The following is a 16,223-nucleotide window of genomic DNA, read 5'->3' on the forward strand; positions in this document are numbered from 1 at the left end:
GGCGGCCTCCCAGCCCCTCGGGTGGCCAGGGATGTTTTTGCTTTGGTGTCAGCAGGACCTGACGGCAGTATTTTGGAACCAAGGCTGGCTTCCTCCTCTCTCCGGCCCCATCCCCTTGCTCGGGTTTCAAGCGTGTCCCTTCCCGCACTGCCCTCTTGCATTCGCTTTCTTCTCGAGCTCGTGAATGTTACCCTAGAGGGGGCTGCAGCACCGCAGGCTTCCTCCTCGCCGCCACCATTTGCTGTTGTTGGCTGCGGCTCCGGGTGCCCGGCGCCAACTCCTCCGCAGCTAGTGAGGACCCTGCACTCAGCTTACCCAAACAGACGAGCCGGCGCAGAGTCTGCACACGCCGGGCAGCCCCTCTCGCTCACCCTCACAATTCTGAAAATGGAGAGGCTCATTGCACCACGTGCATTTCCCCAAGTGTGCACGGTCCACTACACCCAGGCACATGCAGCCTCGATTCACACCGGCTTAGCTCCAGTCCCGAGCCTTTGTCCCCCACCCGCATTTATGCACACTCCCCTGCTGCCAGTGATGGGTTGTTGACAGGTTTTTTTTTTTTTCTTTTTTCCTTTCCTTTTATTTTCAAAGTATCCATATTGGTTTCCTGCAAAATTCCTTTGGAGGCTTCCTGGACGTTGCATTCCGAAAGCATCTTACGGAACATGGTGTCGTCTTCACTACGTCATGACCGCCCTGCCAGGGACTTGTGTGTCCTGCATTGGCAAATTCCAAGTCCCTCATCATGGTCTAGAAACAAATCACCCCCGGTTCCTATGTCTTCATTTTCCTTTCATGTGTTCCAGTAAGGCATTAAAGAACAGATAACACTGTAACACTGAATTTGCTCATTGTTATTCCTTACTGAGGACACCCAGTTTGGGGGAATATATGGAAGATATCAGTAAATGACAAACATCTTTATAATAGCTTTGTTTTGTTTTGGACGGAGTCTGGCTCTGCCGCCCAGGCTGGAATGCAGTGGCGCAATCTTATCTCACTGCAATCTCTACCTCCCTGGTTCAAGCAATTCTCCTGCCTCAGCCTCCCGAGTAGCTGGGATTACAGGTGCGCGCCACCACACCCAGCTAATTTTTGTATTTTTAGTAGAGACGGGATTTCACCATGTTCGCCAGGATGGTCTCGATCTCCTGACCTCGTGATCTGCCTGCCTCGGTCTCCCAAAGTGCTGGGATTACAGGCATGAGCCACTGCTCCTGGCTTATAATAACTTTTTTAAAAAATGAAGACTTAAAATTGTATTTTGTTCACTGCTGTATTCTCAGACTCTAATGTAGTGCCTGGCTCTTGAATGCTTTATCAGTACTTATTGGAGGAATGTCAGGCAAGTTTCTAGGCACTTTATATTATTATCCCATTTCATCTTCATACAGCCGTTTGATAGATGACAAAAGGATAATTTGTGTGTCCAAGGTCATATAATCAGAAAGTGGTTGACTCCTGATTCCTCGTGTGGTCTGAGCCTAAGTTTTTAATCTATAGTACACTACTTCACACCATCCAGTAACTTACTATGTGTATTCAATTTTAAATTTGTACTCAATTTTAAATCTTCCTCAAACACCCTGAGATATGCTCACTGTGGTGCTAGCTAGCTAACCACTGCAGACCCTGCTTAAAATTCTCTTAAAATGTATTTATTATGTTTTTGGTAATATTCTCAGGTAGACTTCCTTGCATTATTCTTCTTGATTATGCTTTTACACATACAGGAGTTCTGCTATGGTACAATATGCATTTCTGGAAAACACCTTGCATCCTGGGAAACACACACTAGAACCAGACTCATGAGAAAATTAGATCGAGGTAGACCCCTCAGTACCCATGCAACTTTGTGAACAGAACACCCACAAAAACAATAACAAATCTGTAAAATCACTAGTACAGTTTAAAAGATGTGTTAGGTTTCTATAAATACTACTATAAATATAGGACTCTATCTTAAAACGTAAAAGTTTAATGACAGGGGAGATAAGGACCCATCCTGCTCATTCAATAAGCACAAGACACTGCAATCAGCATCTAGGATGCTGTAATTGGCCTAACAGTCCTACTTTATGAAAAGTATTTTAGGTTAAATTTTTAGGTAAATAAAAACAACACTTTATTTTAGTAAACACTAGACTTTATCAGATGTATAATATATATATATTATATATATCTTTAATTCAAAGTCAAATACTTCTTTTTTATAAGTAGGCTTTCCTAAAAATTACCGCAATTTTAATATGATGCATCATTTTGAAGAGATGGTCATATTTAAGGGCCATTTACTTTTTCCAGTAATTATTACTGACATATGAAAGTGGAAGAGGGGAAAATCAAGAGCTTTATTTTTACTTACCAGACTACCAGGAATTTCTTAACTTCAAAATCTATTTGGTTGAGCTATTAATATTTTAGCAAATAGGTTAATCTTTTTCTTAACACCATTTGTAGACCCATATTAGCGGCTCATCCAAACAAAGAACAACAATTTATGACAGGCAAAAGAGAAGAAAATGTTGGAATATTATTTAGCCATAAAAAGGAATGAAGCACTGATTTATGTCACAACATAGATGAACCCTGAAAACATTATGCTATGTGAAAGAAGCCGGACATAAAAGGGCCCATATAATATTATTCCATTTGTAGTTAATGTTCAAAACAGTCAAACCCATAAGATACAAAAAGTAGATTAGTAGCTATCAGGGGCTGGGAGTGGGGAGAGGAATGGGGTTTCTTTTGGGGGTAATAAGAATGTTATGGAATTAGTAATGATGGTTGTACAATCTTATACAGTCAAAACCACTGCATTGTACACTTTAATTCACTCACAAAAAAGTGAATTTTATGGAATGTGAAATTGTATCTCAATTTTTAAAAAGGAAAGAAAATACTGACTCCATTCATTCTTCTAATAGCTGGCCCTCTTTGGGGAAATCCAGACTACTGAGAGGTTTGTGTGGGCTGGTAAATATTAGTTCTTAGTCACAAGGCTGCTATACATGTCTCACTTCTAATCAGTTTTAAAATAAGACAGGATTTCAGATCCAGTGCTTTTTTTCTGTTGGGGATAGAAAGGAAGATCTGGGAAATTCACCCTGGACTGCCACGGGAAGGAAAAGAATTCACTACAGAAAATACAAACAAAGCTAAAGCCTCATGTGTAATGTCAGAAGATGAAGAATGGCATGATGCCTCTTCAAAGACCTGCTGAGTTTGTAAAAGGAATCCATTTTTTTTTCTATAATAGGAGATGCTAAGAAGACAAAAACCTTAAATATGTGTGTCCCAGGAGGCAGAGAATGTAATGCTCTCAGCCTGGGAGGGATAACATTTTGAAATACAGTTTCTCCAAATGGTTGAGAGAATACAGTTTTGATCTATATTACCTGGAACAAAAGGTCCTCAGTTCAATTTTTAACTAAGTTTTGGTGCTGCACAAGTGTGCAGACATTTAAAAGGCAAAATATATGTTGTAATAATAATAATTTTTAATGCCAAATGAAAACCCAAATCCACTAAATGGCTACTTTGGGATGGCTGGATGATAATGGTTATTATTCTAACACACCTAACAATTGTGAATAAAGTTTTGGCTATAGAAGAGCAGGTGGCTTTTTGTTATTACCTTGTGTATTAAAAGTTTCCTGTCCTTTAACACTCTCCATAGATGAAATTCAAAATATCTTCTGAAGACAAACGAGAGCTTTATTCTAAAAGAGCCATTGTATCAAAGAGTTTGGTTTAAACTTTAAAGGGAATGTTATACATCAAAGTAACTTAGGATGTGTGATAAGTGTATATTTTTATCTACATAGCAGACTCCAATCTTCTATTTTCCTGTAGTGAGATTTCCAAAGTTTGAGGAAAATTTCAGAGAAAGAGAGAAAAAAGAAAACAACTTTCATTCTCTAACATTTTGCCAGGTGTTTATTAAGAGGATTGATGTGGACTTGTAAAGGTTAAGTCGTATCTTCTATGCAGACTTTCAAAGGGAGTTATTAAAATTCAAAGCTGGGAGGCACTGGCTTTTCAAATGACTCTGCAAACAAGCAGTTCAGTTGGATGTATAGTTTTCTGTCTTCAAAAAGAAGGAAAAAAAATCATGGGTCCTCAATTTAGTTGTATATTTCTTTAATATTTATTGAGTCTCTCAAATGTGCTAGATATTTGCTTTTATAGTCTCAGATGATATTGACTACAGGATTTCACAATTAGTTGAGTAACATACCTTTAGCTGCTATGATAAGGAGAAGAACCTTACAGATTTTTCTTTTATCTTTAAACGTTTTAAGAAGACGGAGCTCCTGACAGCTGGCTTTGCTGTCATGCATAGACTGGGTGGTAAAAGGGAGCGCCACCTAGTGGCCTGCAAGTCATTTGGTCGGTGCTGCCCTCCAAGGGAGAGCAGGGCTAAGGAAAAGCAAATAGGATTTAAACTTCTCAGCCTTCTACGACCTGCCACAAACCAGCACAGTACCTGGTTTTATAGAACAGAGTGATGGTTCCGGCTCCTTCCATGCCAGCCCCTCCCTAGTCAGGACTGGTGTTAAACTTTGTCTTTACAAGCCTGTGCTTGCAATTTCTAGCTTTGCCATTGCCACTGACATCTGCTTAAAATGAAGGCTTTGGGGGCCTGGATATACCTCTCTCCAAATGGCCAGTCATAGAAGGCTTTGAAAATCTGGCCTTTGATGTATTTTATAGGGATAAGGAGCCATATATTAAAGTGAGCTCTGCTGCACACTCTAGGCCACATAACTGGGTCAATACTAAAGTTGTAATTTCATCTTCAGTTTTTGAGAAGCTTAACTGTTCTAGCTTTCCTGTTGCTGATGACATCATAGGAAGTCACTGATGAGCTGACAACCTTTTATGATCTAGCTGAGGATACATTACTTTTTGTCTTTCTCCTTCAGTGTATAATGAATACCATTGCTTACATAAATGTTAAAGAATTATCTGCAGGAGAAAACTGAACCTTCTCAGTAAGCCAGCAGTAGATTAAAAGGCAAAGTTAGTGAGGTATTCTTCTCAGGGTTTTATCTTTTGCTCTTTAGTAAGCCATGGGAGTTATAGGTATAGAACTCATTCAGTGTTGGAAGACAGAGAGTGGAGGAGTGTTTCTAAGAAAATGAATATGTGGAGATTATAAGAAAGAAAATGACTTCATAAATCAGTTCAGGGTGAATGAAAGTTTGGATACTTTGCAGTCCTTTTTCAGCCTAGGTGTGTACTGTACTGACTTTTAGTTTCTCCCCAAAGATATGGAGAAATCTGCTGTATATTTGTGGCCCAACTCATGAATTCAGTGTACATGGATTATAGCTCTGTTAAAACGATCTTAGAAAAGCTAGGACTTTCTCTGTACATAGACTATAATATTGTCAACATGCATTTGAATAGATTGTCTGTATAGGCCACAACAGAAATGGACCTAAACCATAAAGTAGTAAACCATTTTTTTATTAATTGGTGAAATTGTGAAGTATAAGTACCTGTGATGGAGATGATCTTGTGTTCTAATGACATAGATGTAGATTATGTTCACATTTAAGTAAGAGGAACAACTATGTTACTAGCATTTACTATAGAAATGATATTGTTTTTGTGAGGATGTGTCAGAAGTTATTTTACTTGGGGATAAAATAGACTAAATAATGCTTGCAGGGTTTACCATGATGTCTAGCATGTGTGACGATGGCTTCATGGTTTTAGAGAATTCTTAGAATCTTTATTTTTTTAGTTTTTGCAGTGAATGAGAAAAGAAAAAATTATTGAGAAACTACTAAGGGTGAGGCATTGTGCTGGGTGCTTGGCAAATGCCATCTTATTTAATCCTCACATTGATCTTTTGAGCTAATGGGTAATATATTCCTTTTATGGATGAGGCCATTGGAGCTCAGAGAGACTAAATAACTTGCCTAAGTTTGTTACTAAATGGTGGATATGGGATTTGAATTTAGGTCTTTCTGATTCCAAAATTCATGGTTCTCCAATGTTGACTTACATGTGAACAAAGAGAAAAATGGGTATTACGTATATGTAACATTTCACTAGACTCTACTATTTTGAATTTTAGCCTATAAGGATAAAAACATAAGGCTTGAAGATTGGCCTCAAGCAGATCCTCAGTATTTCACCTGTGCACACATTAGTTTCTATTGTAAGAATATTCTACTCCTTGAGAACAGGTTTATGTCTTTTGCTTTACCTTAAACAATTGGTAAAGGGAAAACAGATGCAGATAATAATAGTAGTACGAGTTAAGGCCAAAGGGATGGCACACAGGCAGGAGGGTATGGCAACATCCTTAAAACTTTTGTTCAAGTGCAGAAATGCCATATTTAATGTCTTTCCTCCTATTTATTAAAAGACATATGTCTATGTATCTTACCAAGAGACTAATAATATCAGCAACAGCTAACACTGTTGAGCACTTAATCTGATCCAGGCCCTTTTCTAAGTATTTAGCATGCCTTCTTAGGCACTACGATTACCCTCATTTCACAGGTGAGAAAACTGAAAGTCAGAGAGTTTAGGTAACTTATTTGCCTAAGGTCAAATAGAATGTTATAGATTCAGGATTCAAACCCAGTCAGTTGAACTCCAAAGCTCAAGTTCTTAAACACTGTGATATTCTTCAGTACAATAAATGTACACATTAACTTACCTTGCTGGGGATGTTTCCTCCTCAAGAAGTCTGAAATTCTTCTCGATTGTTCTGACAGTGATAACCAGTTTCTCTCTTCAGTATCTGTTTTGCCACCGCTAAAAGTACAGCCTTTGATTTGAGAGCTAAACAATCTGTCACCACCATTAAGCATCAAATATATGTTTTATCCTTGGGGAAAAATTAAGATCATGGATAATGAACTCTTTGACTTTGTTTGTTTAATGCAAAAATAAATTGAACCTTGAACTTGATAAGACAAAATCTTTAGAGTTCACCTACATTCCTACATACAAAATGATACCCTTGTGGTACATCTTTTAATCACAGTATATTTAAGAGTTCTTCAATATCCCATATTTACAAAACAGGTAGTTAATAGTAATATTTGGTATCTATATTATTCTGTGGTTTCAAAATTTTGTCATTCCATTTTATTGATGGGTAAACTGAAGACTTAAAAATATTGTGATAAACAAAGAGTTTACCAAATGTACACCAAAAAAGAAAATACTAACCAAGACTCATATACAAAATGCTGAAAGTATTTGATTCCCTACTTGACTGGAGACATCTTGAAAAATTTTTTTATCATCAGTTGAATTTTTATAAAACATTTTTAGTTTACCTTTACTTGAATGTATTTAGAAAATCCAATATTTTTTAAAACCTACATTTAATCTTTGTCATGTGAAAAAAGTACAATTATCAGAATAATCAGAATAATATACTAAGAATTATAAGGAGCTAGTAGTGACTATATGCACAATACTGTATCAAATATTTGTAAACATTTTTATATTTAATCCTTATAGTTACCCTATCATGTAGGTATTCATCCCCCTATTTTATAGAATAAACTGTGGTTCATGAAGATTAGTAACCTGCTTAAGACAATATAACCAGGAAGCGATGGACCCAGAGTTTGATTCCAGATTTCATCCCAGAACCCAAGATTTCTTCCTGTATTGAACAACATTTACATTAGCTCAATTGTGCGATTACCTCTAGCAGAAAGGTAGAGGTATAAATGTCTTACAGAGCAGGAAAAGGAAAAAAGAAACTCCACAGTGATCTTTTAGGATTGACGTTCCAGAAACTCTATATATGGGCTTAAGTCTAAGATGAAAACTAAATCTCACTCCCAAATTCTCTGTAGGAAGATATGCCTGGGGGAAAAAAATGTTGACATAAATATTAGTCTAGATTCGTGCTGGTATACTTGGTTTTCTGAAAGCATTTAAAGGCATGAACTAAAAATGTTCTGCTACTCTAAATTTGTTTTTGTTTCTTTAAAATGCAAAAATAAGCAAGTATGGGTTTTATTGATTTTAAAATCAATTAGAATTCTACCAGATTATAAAAAGTATCACAAAATGTCAACCAGCAAGGATGCCTGTGCAGGCAATTGGGCTGACATGTTTATTGTAATGTGAACGTGCAGAAACTGGACCATACAAAAGGCCAAATGGGTCCATTCCAAATCAATCTTTTAAAGCAACTTGAGGGAAACAAGGCATATTGGTCCTAGAACAAAATAGAATCAGCAAAGCCTTTGACGTAGATCTTCATACAGATAAAATGCATCTGGGTGCAAACACGTTTTTCTCAACATGTTCTTACCTATGTCATCTAAAAAATAGTATTCTTGAACTTTCGGGTAATAGTGCTTGTCTTAGAACAGAATTAGGCCTACCTTGGACCATATCCAAAGAGAAGGTTTGGTTCCAAAAGTACCTTGAAAGGAGTTCATTGTAACGTGATTTCCTATAAAGGCAGTCAGAAGTGTGGACTGAAGACAGTTTTGAGGGATAAAACTTGCTTTAAAATTTCAAATTAACATGAACATTTTTTTTTTTAAACAAAACTTTCCTTGTGCTGGAAGGGGAGGTGAGACAATCACAAAATGTGGGTCACACAATCACTATGTGGGTTGTTTACATAGTTTTTGACTAGTTTGGAACAGTGGTAGCAGAGAGTGTTTTGAACTCTGTTTACCACAAGTAACAAAATCAAAATAAATATTCAGCTGGCTTCATAATGAAGCAAATATTTTCTGTATTATATAGTAATGAAAGTCAGTGTGCATGGTAAATAAAGGTTGCTCAAGGGCTCCGTGAGAAAAAGCCAAATGCCGAATGACAGCCAGAATTCTACTACAGAGCAAAGAGAGCCTGGAAATGTGTCACAATCCCTGAAGCTGAATGTTGTGCCGTGTTTGGTTTGGTGCTTGCTTTATTTTGTAGAAAGGGGAAAGTGTTCAGTGCCGGTAGGACTGGCTTCATGCCCTTGGTGTCATTACTCATTGAAATAATGGGGAAAATGAGAGCCAAACCTGTGGGGAAGAGGGAGGGAGGGAGACTTCACAAATACCTCAGTTCAGTATTTAAAAGGAAGGGACAAAAATAGAACCACTAAAAGAAAGTAAAGCAATGACATTGTCCTGGATGGGGGAATCAGGCTGTTAGAGGCACCTGATGCAAAACAAAATGTCTCGCAATTATAAGTGTGTGTTTGGAGGCTTAGCAGGACATACACTGCTAAAGAGTCCTCAGGGAGCTCTTTGCTAGACCCTTTCTGAATGTCTATTGCTGTTCATTCTTTCTTGAAATAGAGTACCTTCCTCCGGAGAGTCTCATAAGCCTCTCTGCCAAATGAGTTTGCTTCCTTTCTCTATATGCATGCCCCTCAGGGGCCTGGTGACAGTAGCTCTTTGAATGCAGAAGAGCCCAAACTTTGATGTATAAAAAATTGCAGGTGTCGAGCACACATGGTTGTGCATTTGTGGGATGTGAGCAATTTGGTTTGGTTTATGGGTTTCAGTCCAAAGCTTTGAAAACTTTGGAAAACACTTTTCAAGACCACCAAAACAAGAGATTTGTGTGCGTGCTCGCTCTCGCTCTTTCTCTCTCTCTCTCTCTCTCTCTGCCATAAAGTATTTGCCCAGAAAACAAGAGAAAACAAAAATCAATTAATAAACAAAACCCCAAGCCTCAGTAATAAATTCTTTTATACACTTAGGAATACCCAGTTAAGAACCACTCTGGGTATTTTGTTCTTTTATGATGATTTTGTTGAGCTGCTCAGGAAGAATGTTAAGGAGGAGGCTTGGAGAAAGAAGTTTGGCATGGACAGTCAAGGTTCTGCTGCCAGCCAGCCAGTGTGGGAAGGACACAGGACACTGGATGAGCTAGCCATCCACCTGCTGTCAGGGGAAAATTATTGCTATTGTAACCACAAACTGAGAAGTTTGAAACTAGGACAATGAGATCAGGGCCAAATGTCACAACTGCCAGGGAGAAAAGGGAAAGAATTATAAAGGTCATGACCTACCTTTCCAAATTTTTACTTTTAAACCCCTAAAAGAATTTAGAAAATATCGACCACAGGCACATTTGTAAGTTGGCATTTAAAATTCATCATCATAAGTTGAAATAGTTGCAAAGGAAGTTATATCTGGAAAATTATAAATATTAATTGTAGATGTTTCTGCTAGAATGTAAATACCATGCCAGTTAGATACTCAGTTATTCATAAAAGTAAATATATTGGACATTTATCTCATTTTCTTTTCTCTTTAGACTCATGCTATCATAACGTAGTATATTTTATGATTGAAAGTTTTCCTCTTTCTGCAAAATAAAAAAGAACCAAAAGTATGGCTGCCCAGGTATACCTTACTGCAAAAAATATATAGAAAGTAAAATTTAATTTTAAAGTTTAATTTTAAAAAATGCTCTATGGTTACAAGGCTCGAATGTTTAAAATTTATGTGAGTGATATATTATTTCAAGTATTATTAATATCAAATAATAGCACAAATAATATAAATTTTTATACTATGCTTTATTGAAAATACTAAATAAAATATATGGGGGTTTTCTTTTCTCTTAAGTAGTTCATCAGTGGATAAACATTTCTTGCCAGAGTGAGACACAGTTACTCATAAATCCTGTTTTTAACTTCCGCATTTATTCATGTGAGTGAGAAGAGCACTGATTATATAAAAAGCATGAGTTGGGGGGATTTAGGGAGGAATTCTGAAATAGCATAAATTCTTTGAACTTTTTCTGAGTTGTATGTCAAAAATCACTTAGTAATTAATGATCAAAAATTAAATTTAGTTTATCAGCTAGCAACTCTATTATATAATTTAAAAATATAATTATATAATTTATATTTAAAAATCTAAATAGCTTGACATGCAAAATGATTTGTAAAACAGTGATTAGAGCCAACACAGTCGTAGAGCCATTTGCCTTCTTTCTTTCTGGAATGTATAATACTAAAGGGCTTTACCAAGACTTAACATATGACTATTAATTATATCTGTTGGTTTTTCTCTTAGAGGAAACTTGTTTAACTTAATATATTCAGAAATAATTAGGATAATTGAAATATAGCTAATATATCTTTGGCAATACATTTTATTTTGATAAAATGATATTATCACATCCTGTGTTTTAAATATACTGTTTCCAATACTTTGTAATTGCAAAGACACATATCAGATAAAGGACTTGTGTCTAGAATATGTAAAGACCTCTCACAACTCAGTAATAGGAAAATAACCCAATAAAAATTAGACAGAAGATCTAAACAGAAAATAGATACAGATGATAGATGCAGGTGTCAAATTAGCACATGAAAAGCTTTTTCAACGTTATTAGTCATTAGGCAAATGCACAGTAAAACCACAATAATACACTACTATATACCTAGTGGAATGGCTGGCATTTTAAAAACTGGCAGTAGTAAGTGCTGGCAAGGTTGCAGAAAAACTCTCTGACATGGCAGTGAGAATGCAAAATGGGAGAGTGCTTCAGAAAATAGGTTGGCAGCTGCTTACATTAAGTTAAATATACACCTAGCATAAAATTCAGCAATCCCATTCCTAGGTATTTATACAAGAGAATGAAAAGATTTCTCCATGCAAATATATGTACAGGAATGTTTGTAATAGATTTATTCATAATCACCAAGAACTGGAAGCAACCAAATGTCCATTAACTAGTAAATAGGTAACGAAATTATGGAACATCCATACAACGAATGTACATTCTGTGATAAAAAGTGGAGCTGGCTGACTACAACAAGACACAAGGGAATTTCATGGAGCGATGGAAATATTCTATATCTTGATTGCTGTGGTCGTTACATGATTGTATACATTTGTCAAAACTCATAAAATTGAATGCCCAAAATGGGTAGATTTTACTGTATTCAACTTATACCTCAATAAACTTGATGTTTTTAAAAAAACACACTTTATAGGTACAAATTTAGCTCACTCAATTAATGAAAATATATTTGCCATGTAAGTAAATCAGCAAAGTCAGTTAGGAAAAGGTCAATTTTATCTTTCAGTTGAAATGGATGTGTTAATATGTAGCTGCATGAAAACCATATCTCTTTTTAATTCTAGGAACCCAGATTCATATATACATATATAGATATATATATTATGTATACATATATATGTATGTATATATGTGCATATGTGTGTATACACACACACCACATAGAACTTTTCTGTGACTCAGAAAAAGTAAGTTAATCCCCTTTACCAAACTTACCAAACTCCCTTTGCTTTGTTGTCACTAGACAACCTCTGAAGTGATTCATTATTTGACAATAGTTGAGAGAGTAGGAAGAGGCAACATGGTTAAGTGAAAAATGTCATCATTTCCATTGTCCACTCTACAGTATATCTGGATTCAGAATATCATTACATAGAGTAAAATATCCTGCTTCTAAAGCCATGCTTTGCTTTTACAAAAAAATTGTATAAAACAGGGAAAGACAAGAACTGTAGTCTGGGTTTGTGGTTACTTAATTAAAGGAGTTTCATTTAAACCAGTATTTTGAATCATTCATTTGCTTGGGGTCCTGAGTTTTATACCCAGGGGTAAGACACCAAGGTAAGTTTCAGGTACTTTTGAAAAGTCAAAGAAACATGCTGTAAGAAGGGGGATTGGGATAGGAAGCCATCAGCACACCACAGCTGCATGTGCATTCTCCTGCCGTTCAGTTCAAGGAAAACCATTTTATCAAAGCTGAGAATATTCTTTTCCTTGAAACAATCATGTTTGCATACTCCTTGGAAAGATGTTGGGTACCTCCATGCATACCTCAATGTAAAGGGCATACTAGTATACCAATTTTTATGGTAAGATCGCCACATAAGATAACTTGCTGTCATTTTTTCAACCTAGCTTATAATTAGTTTAGAAGTGATTTTATGTCTACAATTTCCATACGATTTTATACCTGCAAATTGAACACAGCTTTACCTGTCTAAATATGGTTATGTGTACCTGTATTATAGCCATGTGAATGGACAGAAGAGAAGAATTGTGTTACTGAAACCATTACTTGAGCAACTTTCAGAAAAGCTATTGCCACTTACATAAGCATTAGCTTAAAATTTCTATTACTCAACCAGCTCTTGTGTAAATATACTTGTTTATCTGGCTACCCCGGAAATGAAACCTTACAAATTTCAGCTCCATGTGTTACTAATTTACTCTATCTGAACTCGTTGTTTTGTTGCACACAGTTCTTCTTCAAGCCTGAAAAGGATGGAGACTGTCTTAGTCCATTTTGTGTTACTATAACAGAATACTACAGGCTACGTAATTTACAAAGAAGAGAGATTTATTTCTTACAGTTCTAGAGGCTGGGAAGTCCAAGACTGAAGGGCCCACATCTGGCAAGGGCCCTCATGTTGCATGGTGGAAGATGCAAAGGCAAGAGAGGATGAGAGTGAGGGAGCAAGAGAGGTCCAAGCTCCCCCTTTTCTTTGAGACCGAGTTTCGCTTTTGTTTCCCAGGCTGGTGTGCAATGGCACAATCTCAGCTCACCACAACCTCTGCCTCCCAGGTTCAAGCGATTCTCCTCCTTCCTCAGCCTCCCGAGTAGCTGGGATTACAGGCAAGTGCCACCACGCCTGGCTAATTTTGTATTTTTAGTAGAGATGGGGTTTCTCCATGTTGGTCAGGCTGGTCTCAAACTCCTGACCTCAGGTGATCCACCCGCCTCAGCCTCCGAAAGTGCTGGGATTACAGGCATGAGCCACCGCACCCTGCCCCAAGCTCCCATTTATAACAAATTTACTCTCAAGATAATGAGCCCACTTTTATAATAATAATGTAATCCATTCACAAGGGCAGAACCTTCATGACCTAATCACCTCTTAAAAGTTCAACCTCTCAACACTTGCACTGGGGCTGACTTTCCAAAACATGAACTTGGAGAATACGTTCAAACCATAGTATTCTGTCACTAATCCCCGAAGTCACATCCTTCTCACATGCAATGTGCATTCATTCCATTCCAATAGTTTCAAAAGTCTTAACTTACTCCAGAACCAACTCAAAAGTCCAAAGTCCAAAGTCTAATCTAAATCAGATGTAGATGAAACTCCAGGCATGATTCATCCTAAGTCAAATTTCTTTCTAGCTACAAGCCTATTAAACTGAAGTTATCTAACTCCAAAATACAATGGTGGACAGGCATAAGATAGACATTCCCATTATAAAAGAAATAGGCAAGAAGAAAGGGGTTGCTGCCTCCAAATAAGTCTGAAACCCAACAGGGAAGACACTATTAAGTCTTAAAGCTGGAGAATAATCTTTGATTCCATGTCTCACATCCTGGGAACATTAGGGTAGAGGTTGGGCCGCCAAGGCCTCACGCAGCCTCATTCCTTTGACTTTGCTGGGCTTAGTCCACCAGCAGCTCACGTAGGTTGGAGCCCCAGGCCTACAGCTCTGACAGCCTGAAGCTGTAAGCTGGTAGCTCTATAGTTCTGGGTCCAGGGGTGGCCCCATTTCCAAGGTTCCAATAGGCTTTGTCATAGTAGGAGCTCTCCGCAGTGGCTCTGCCTTTGTGACAAGTTTCTGCCTGAGCCCCCAGGCTGTCCATGACATCCTTCAAAATTTAGATGGAGGAAGCCATGCCCGCACAGCTCTTGCTCTCTGTGCACCTGCAGAATTAACACCATGTAGCCGTTGCCAAGGTTTACAGCTTATACCTTCCAGAGCAGTAGGATGAGCCTCACCTGGGCCTGCTTGGGCTATAGCAAGGGTGGATGAGGAGCAAAGTGCCAGAATGCAGAGAGCAGAGACCCAAGGTAGCTCTGGGTGACAAGCCTGTGGAGGGTGCCTTGGGCTGGTCTCTCCAAACCATTCTGCCTTCCTAGAGCTCTGGACCTGCAATGGGAGGGGCAGCCATGAAGCTCTGAAATGCCTTCAGTATCATTCTCTTATTGACTTAATGATCCCTTCTATTATCTATCTATACTAATCTCCTTAGCAAATGGTCACTTGGCCACACCCTTGGTTTGTCATCTGAACATGCTTTTTTAATTTTTTTCAGGGCCAGGCTGAAATTTTTCAAAATCTTTTTAGTTTTGCTTCTCTTTTAATTCTAAATTATGTCTTTAAGTCATTTCTTTTCTCTTGCAGCTTACTTTATTCAATTAAAATTAGCCACACAGCTCCCTCAATATTTTGCTTGGAAATCTCTCCTGCCAGATACCCTAGTTTATCACTCTTAAATTCCACCTTCCCCAAAGTCCTACAGGATGGAAATAATTTAGCCAATTTCTTGGCCACTTATAAGTGGTTGATTAGGAATATGAAATGCAGATTTTTTTGTATCTCTGTAAACAGTTCATTCCATGAACTATCAGTGCTCTCTGTGCTATTAGAAGCAGAGTCCTTAGCATTTTTTGATCTAATCAGATTAGTGAGCAAATTCTAGAAACTCCCAAGCCAATTAAGGAAACTCATTCTTATAATTATCTTCCTCTAGAACCACTCGTAGTACCAAAATCTGTATTAGTCTGGGTTCTCCAGAGAGACAGAACCAATATCTGCCTATAGATAGACAGATACAGATATCGGTATGCAAGAGGCATATTAGGGGAATTGGCTCATGTGATTATGGAAGCTGAGAAGTTCCATCGCAGGCCATCTCTAAGCTGGAGACCCTAAGCATAGCTCAGTCTAAGTCTGAAAGCCTCAGAACCAGAAAAGACAGTGGAATAAATATCAGTACAAGGCCAAAGGCCTGAGAATCCAGGGGGCTGATGGTGTAAATCATATAATCCCAAGGCTGGAGAAGCTAGAGTTCTGATATCCAAGGAAAGGAGGAGGACACTGTCCCACTACATGAAAGAGAGAGAAAATTATTTTCTCTCCTTTTTTGTTCCATCCAGGACCCTAGCCGATTGGATGGTGCCCACCCACATTGAGGGCAGATCTTCCCCACTCAGTCCACAGACTCACATGCTAATCTCCTCTGGAAACACCCTCACAGACACACCCAGAAATAATGCTTTACCAGTTCTCCAGGTACTCCTTAATCCAGTCAAGTCAACACCTAAAATTACCCATCACAGAGACCAATGACTTGATGCAAATGTCTCGATATGTCTGGGAACACACCTATCCCTCTCAGTTATTGTTATGGCAATTCAGGCTTGCATTTTGTGCTACCAGGTCAGGATTCCAGAAAACAGAGTTCCAATCCC

General features: G+C 37.8%; 1 protein-coding gene across 11 annotated transcripts in view, besides 1 other annotated feature; it reads left to right on the forward strand.

Moving 5' to 3' along the window:
• The window catches only part of ADAMTSL1 (ADAMTS like 1), a 1,004,318-nt gene that overhangs the window by 531,806 nt on the left and 456,289 nt on the right, over positions 1-16,223 (forward strand). The window lies entirely within an intron of this gene.
• Positions 213-768: an enhancer, noted in NCBI's record as "H3K27ac-H3K4me1 hESC enhancer chr9:18438649-18439204 (GRCh37/hg19 assembly coordinates)". NCBI's record gives its function as "activates a minimal SCP1, AML or CMV promoter by ChIP-STARR-seq in naive H9 embryonic stem cells {active_cell/tissue: H9 hESC(naive)}" and the evidence as "EXISTENCE:reporter gene assay evidence [ECO:0000049][PMID:30033119]".

This window comes from Homo sapiens, chromosome 9, assembly GCF_000001405.40.
Source record: "Homo sapiens chromosome 9, GRCh38.p14 Primary Assembly".
Lineage (NCBI taxonomy): Eukaryota > Metazoa > Chordata > Mammalia > Primates > Hominidae > Homo > Homo sapiens.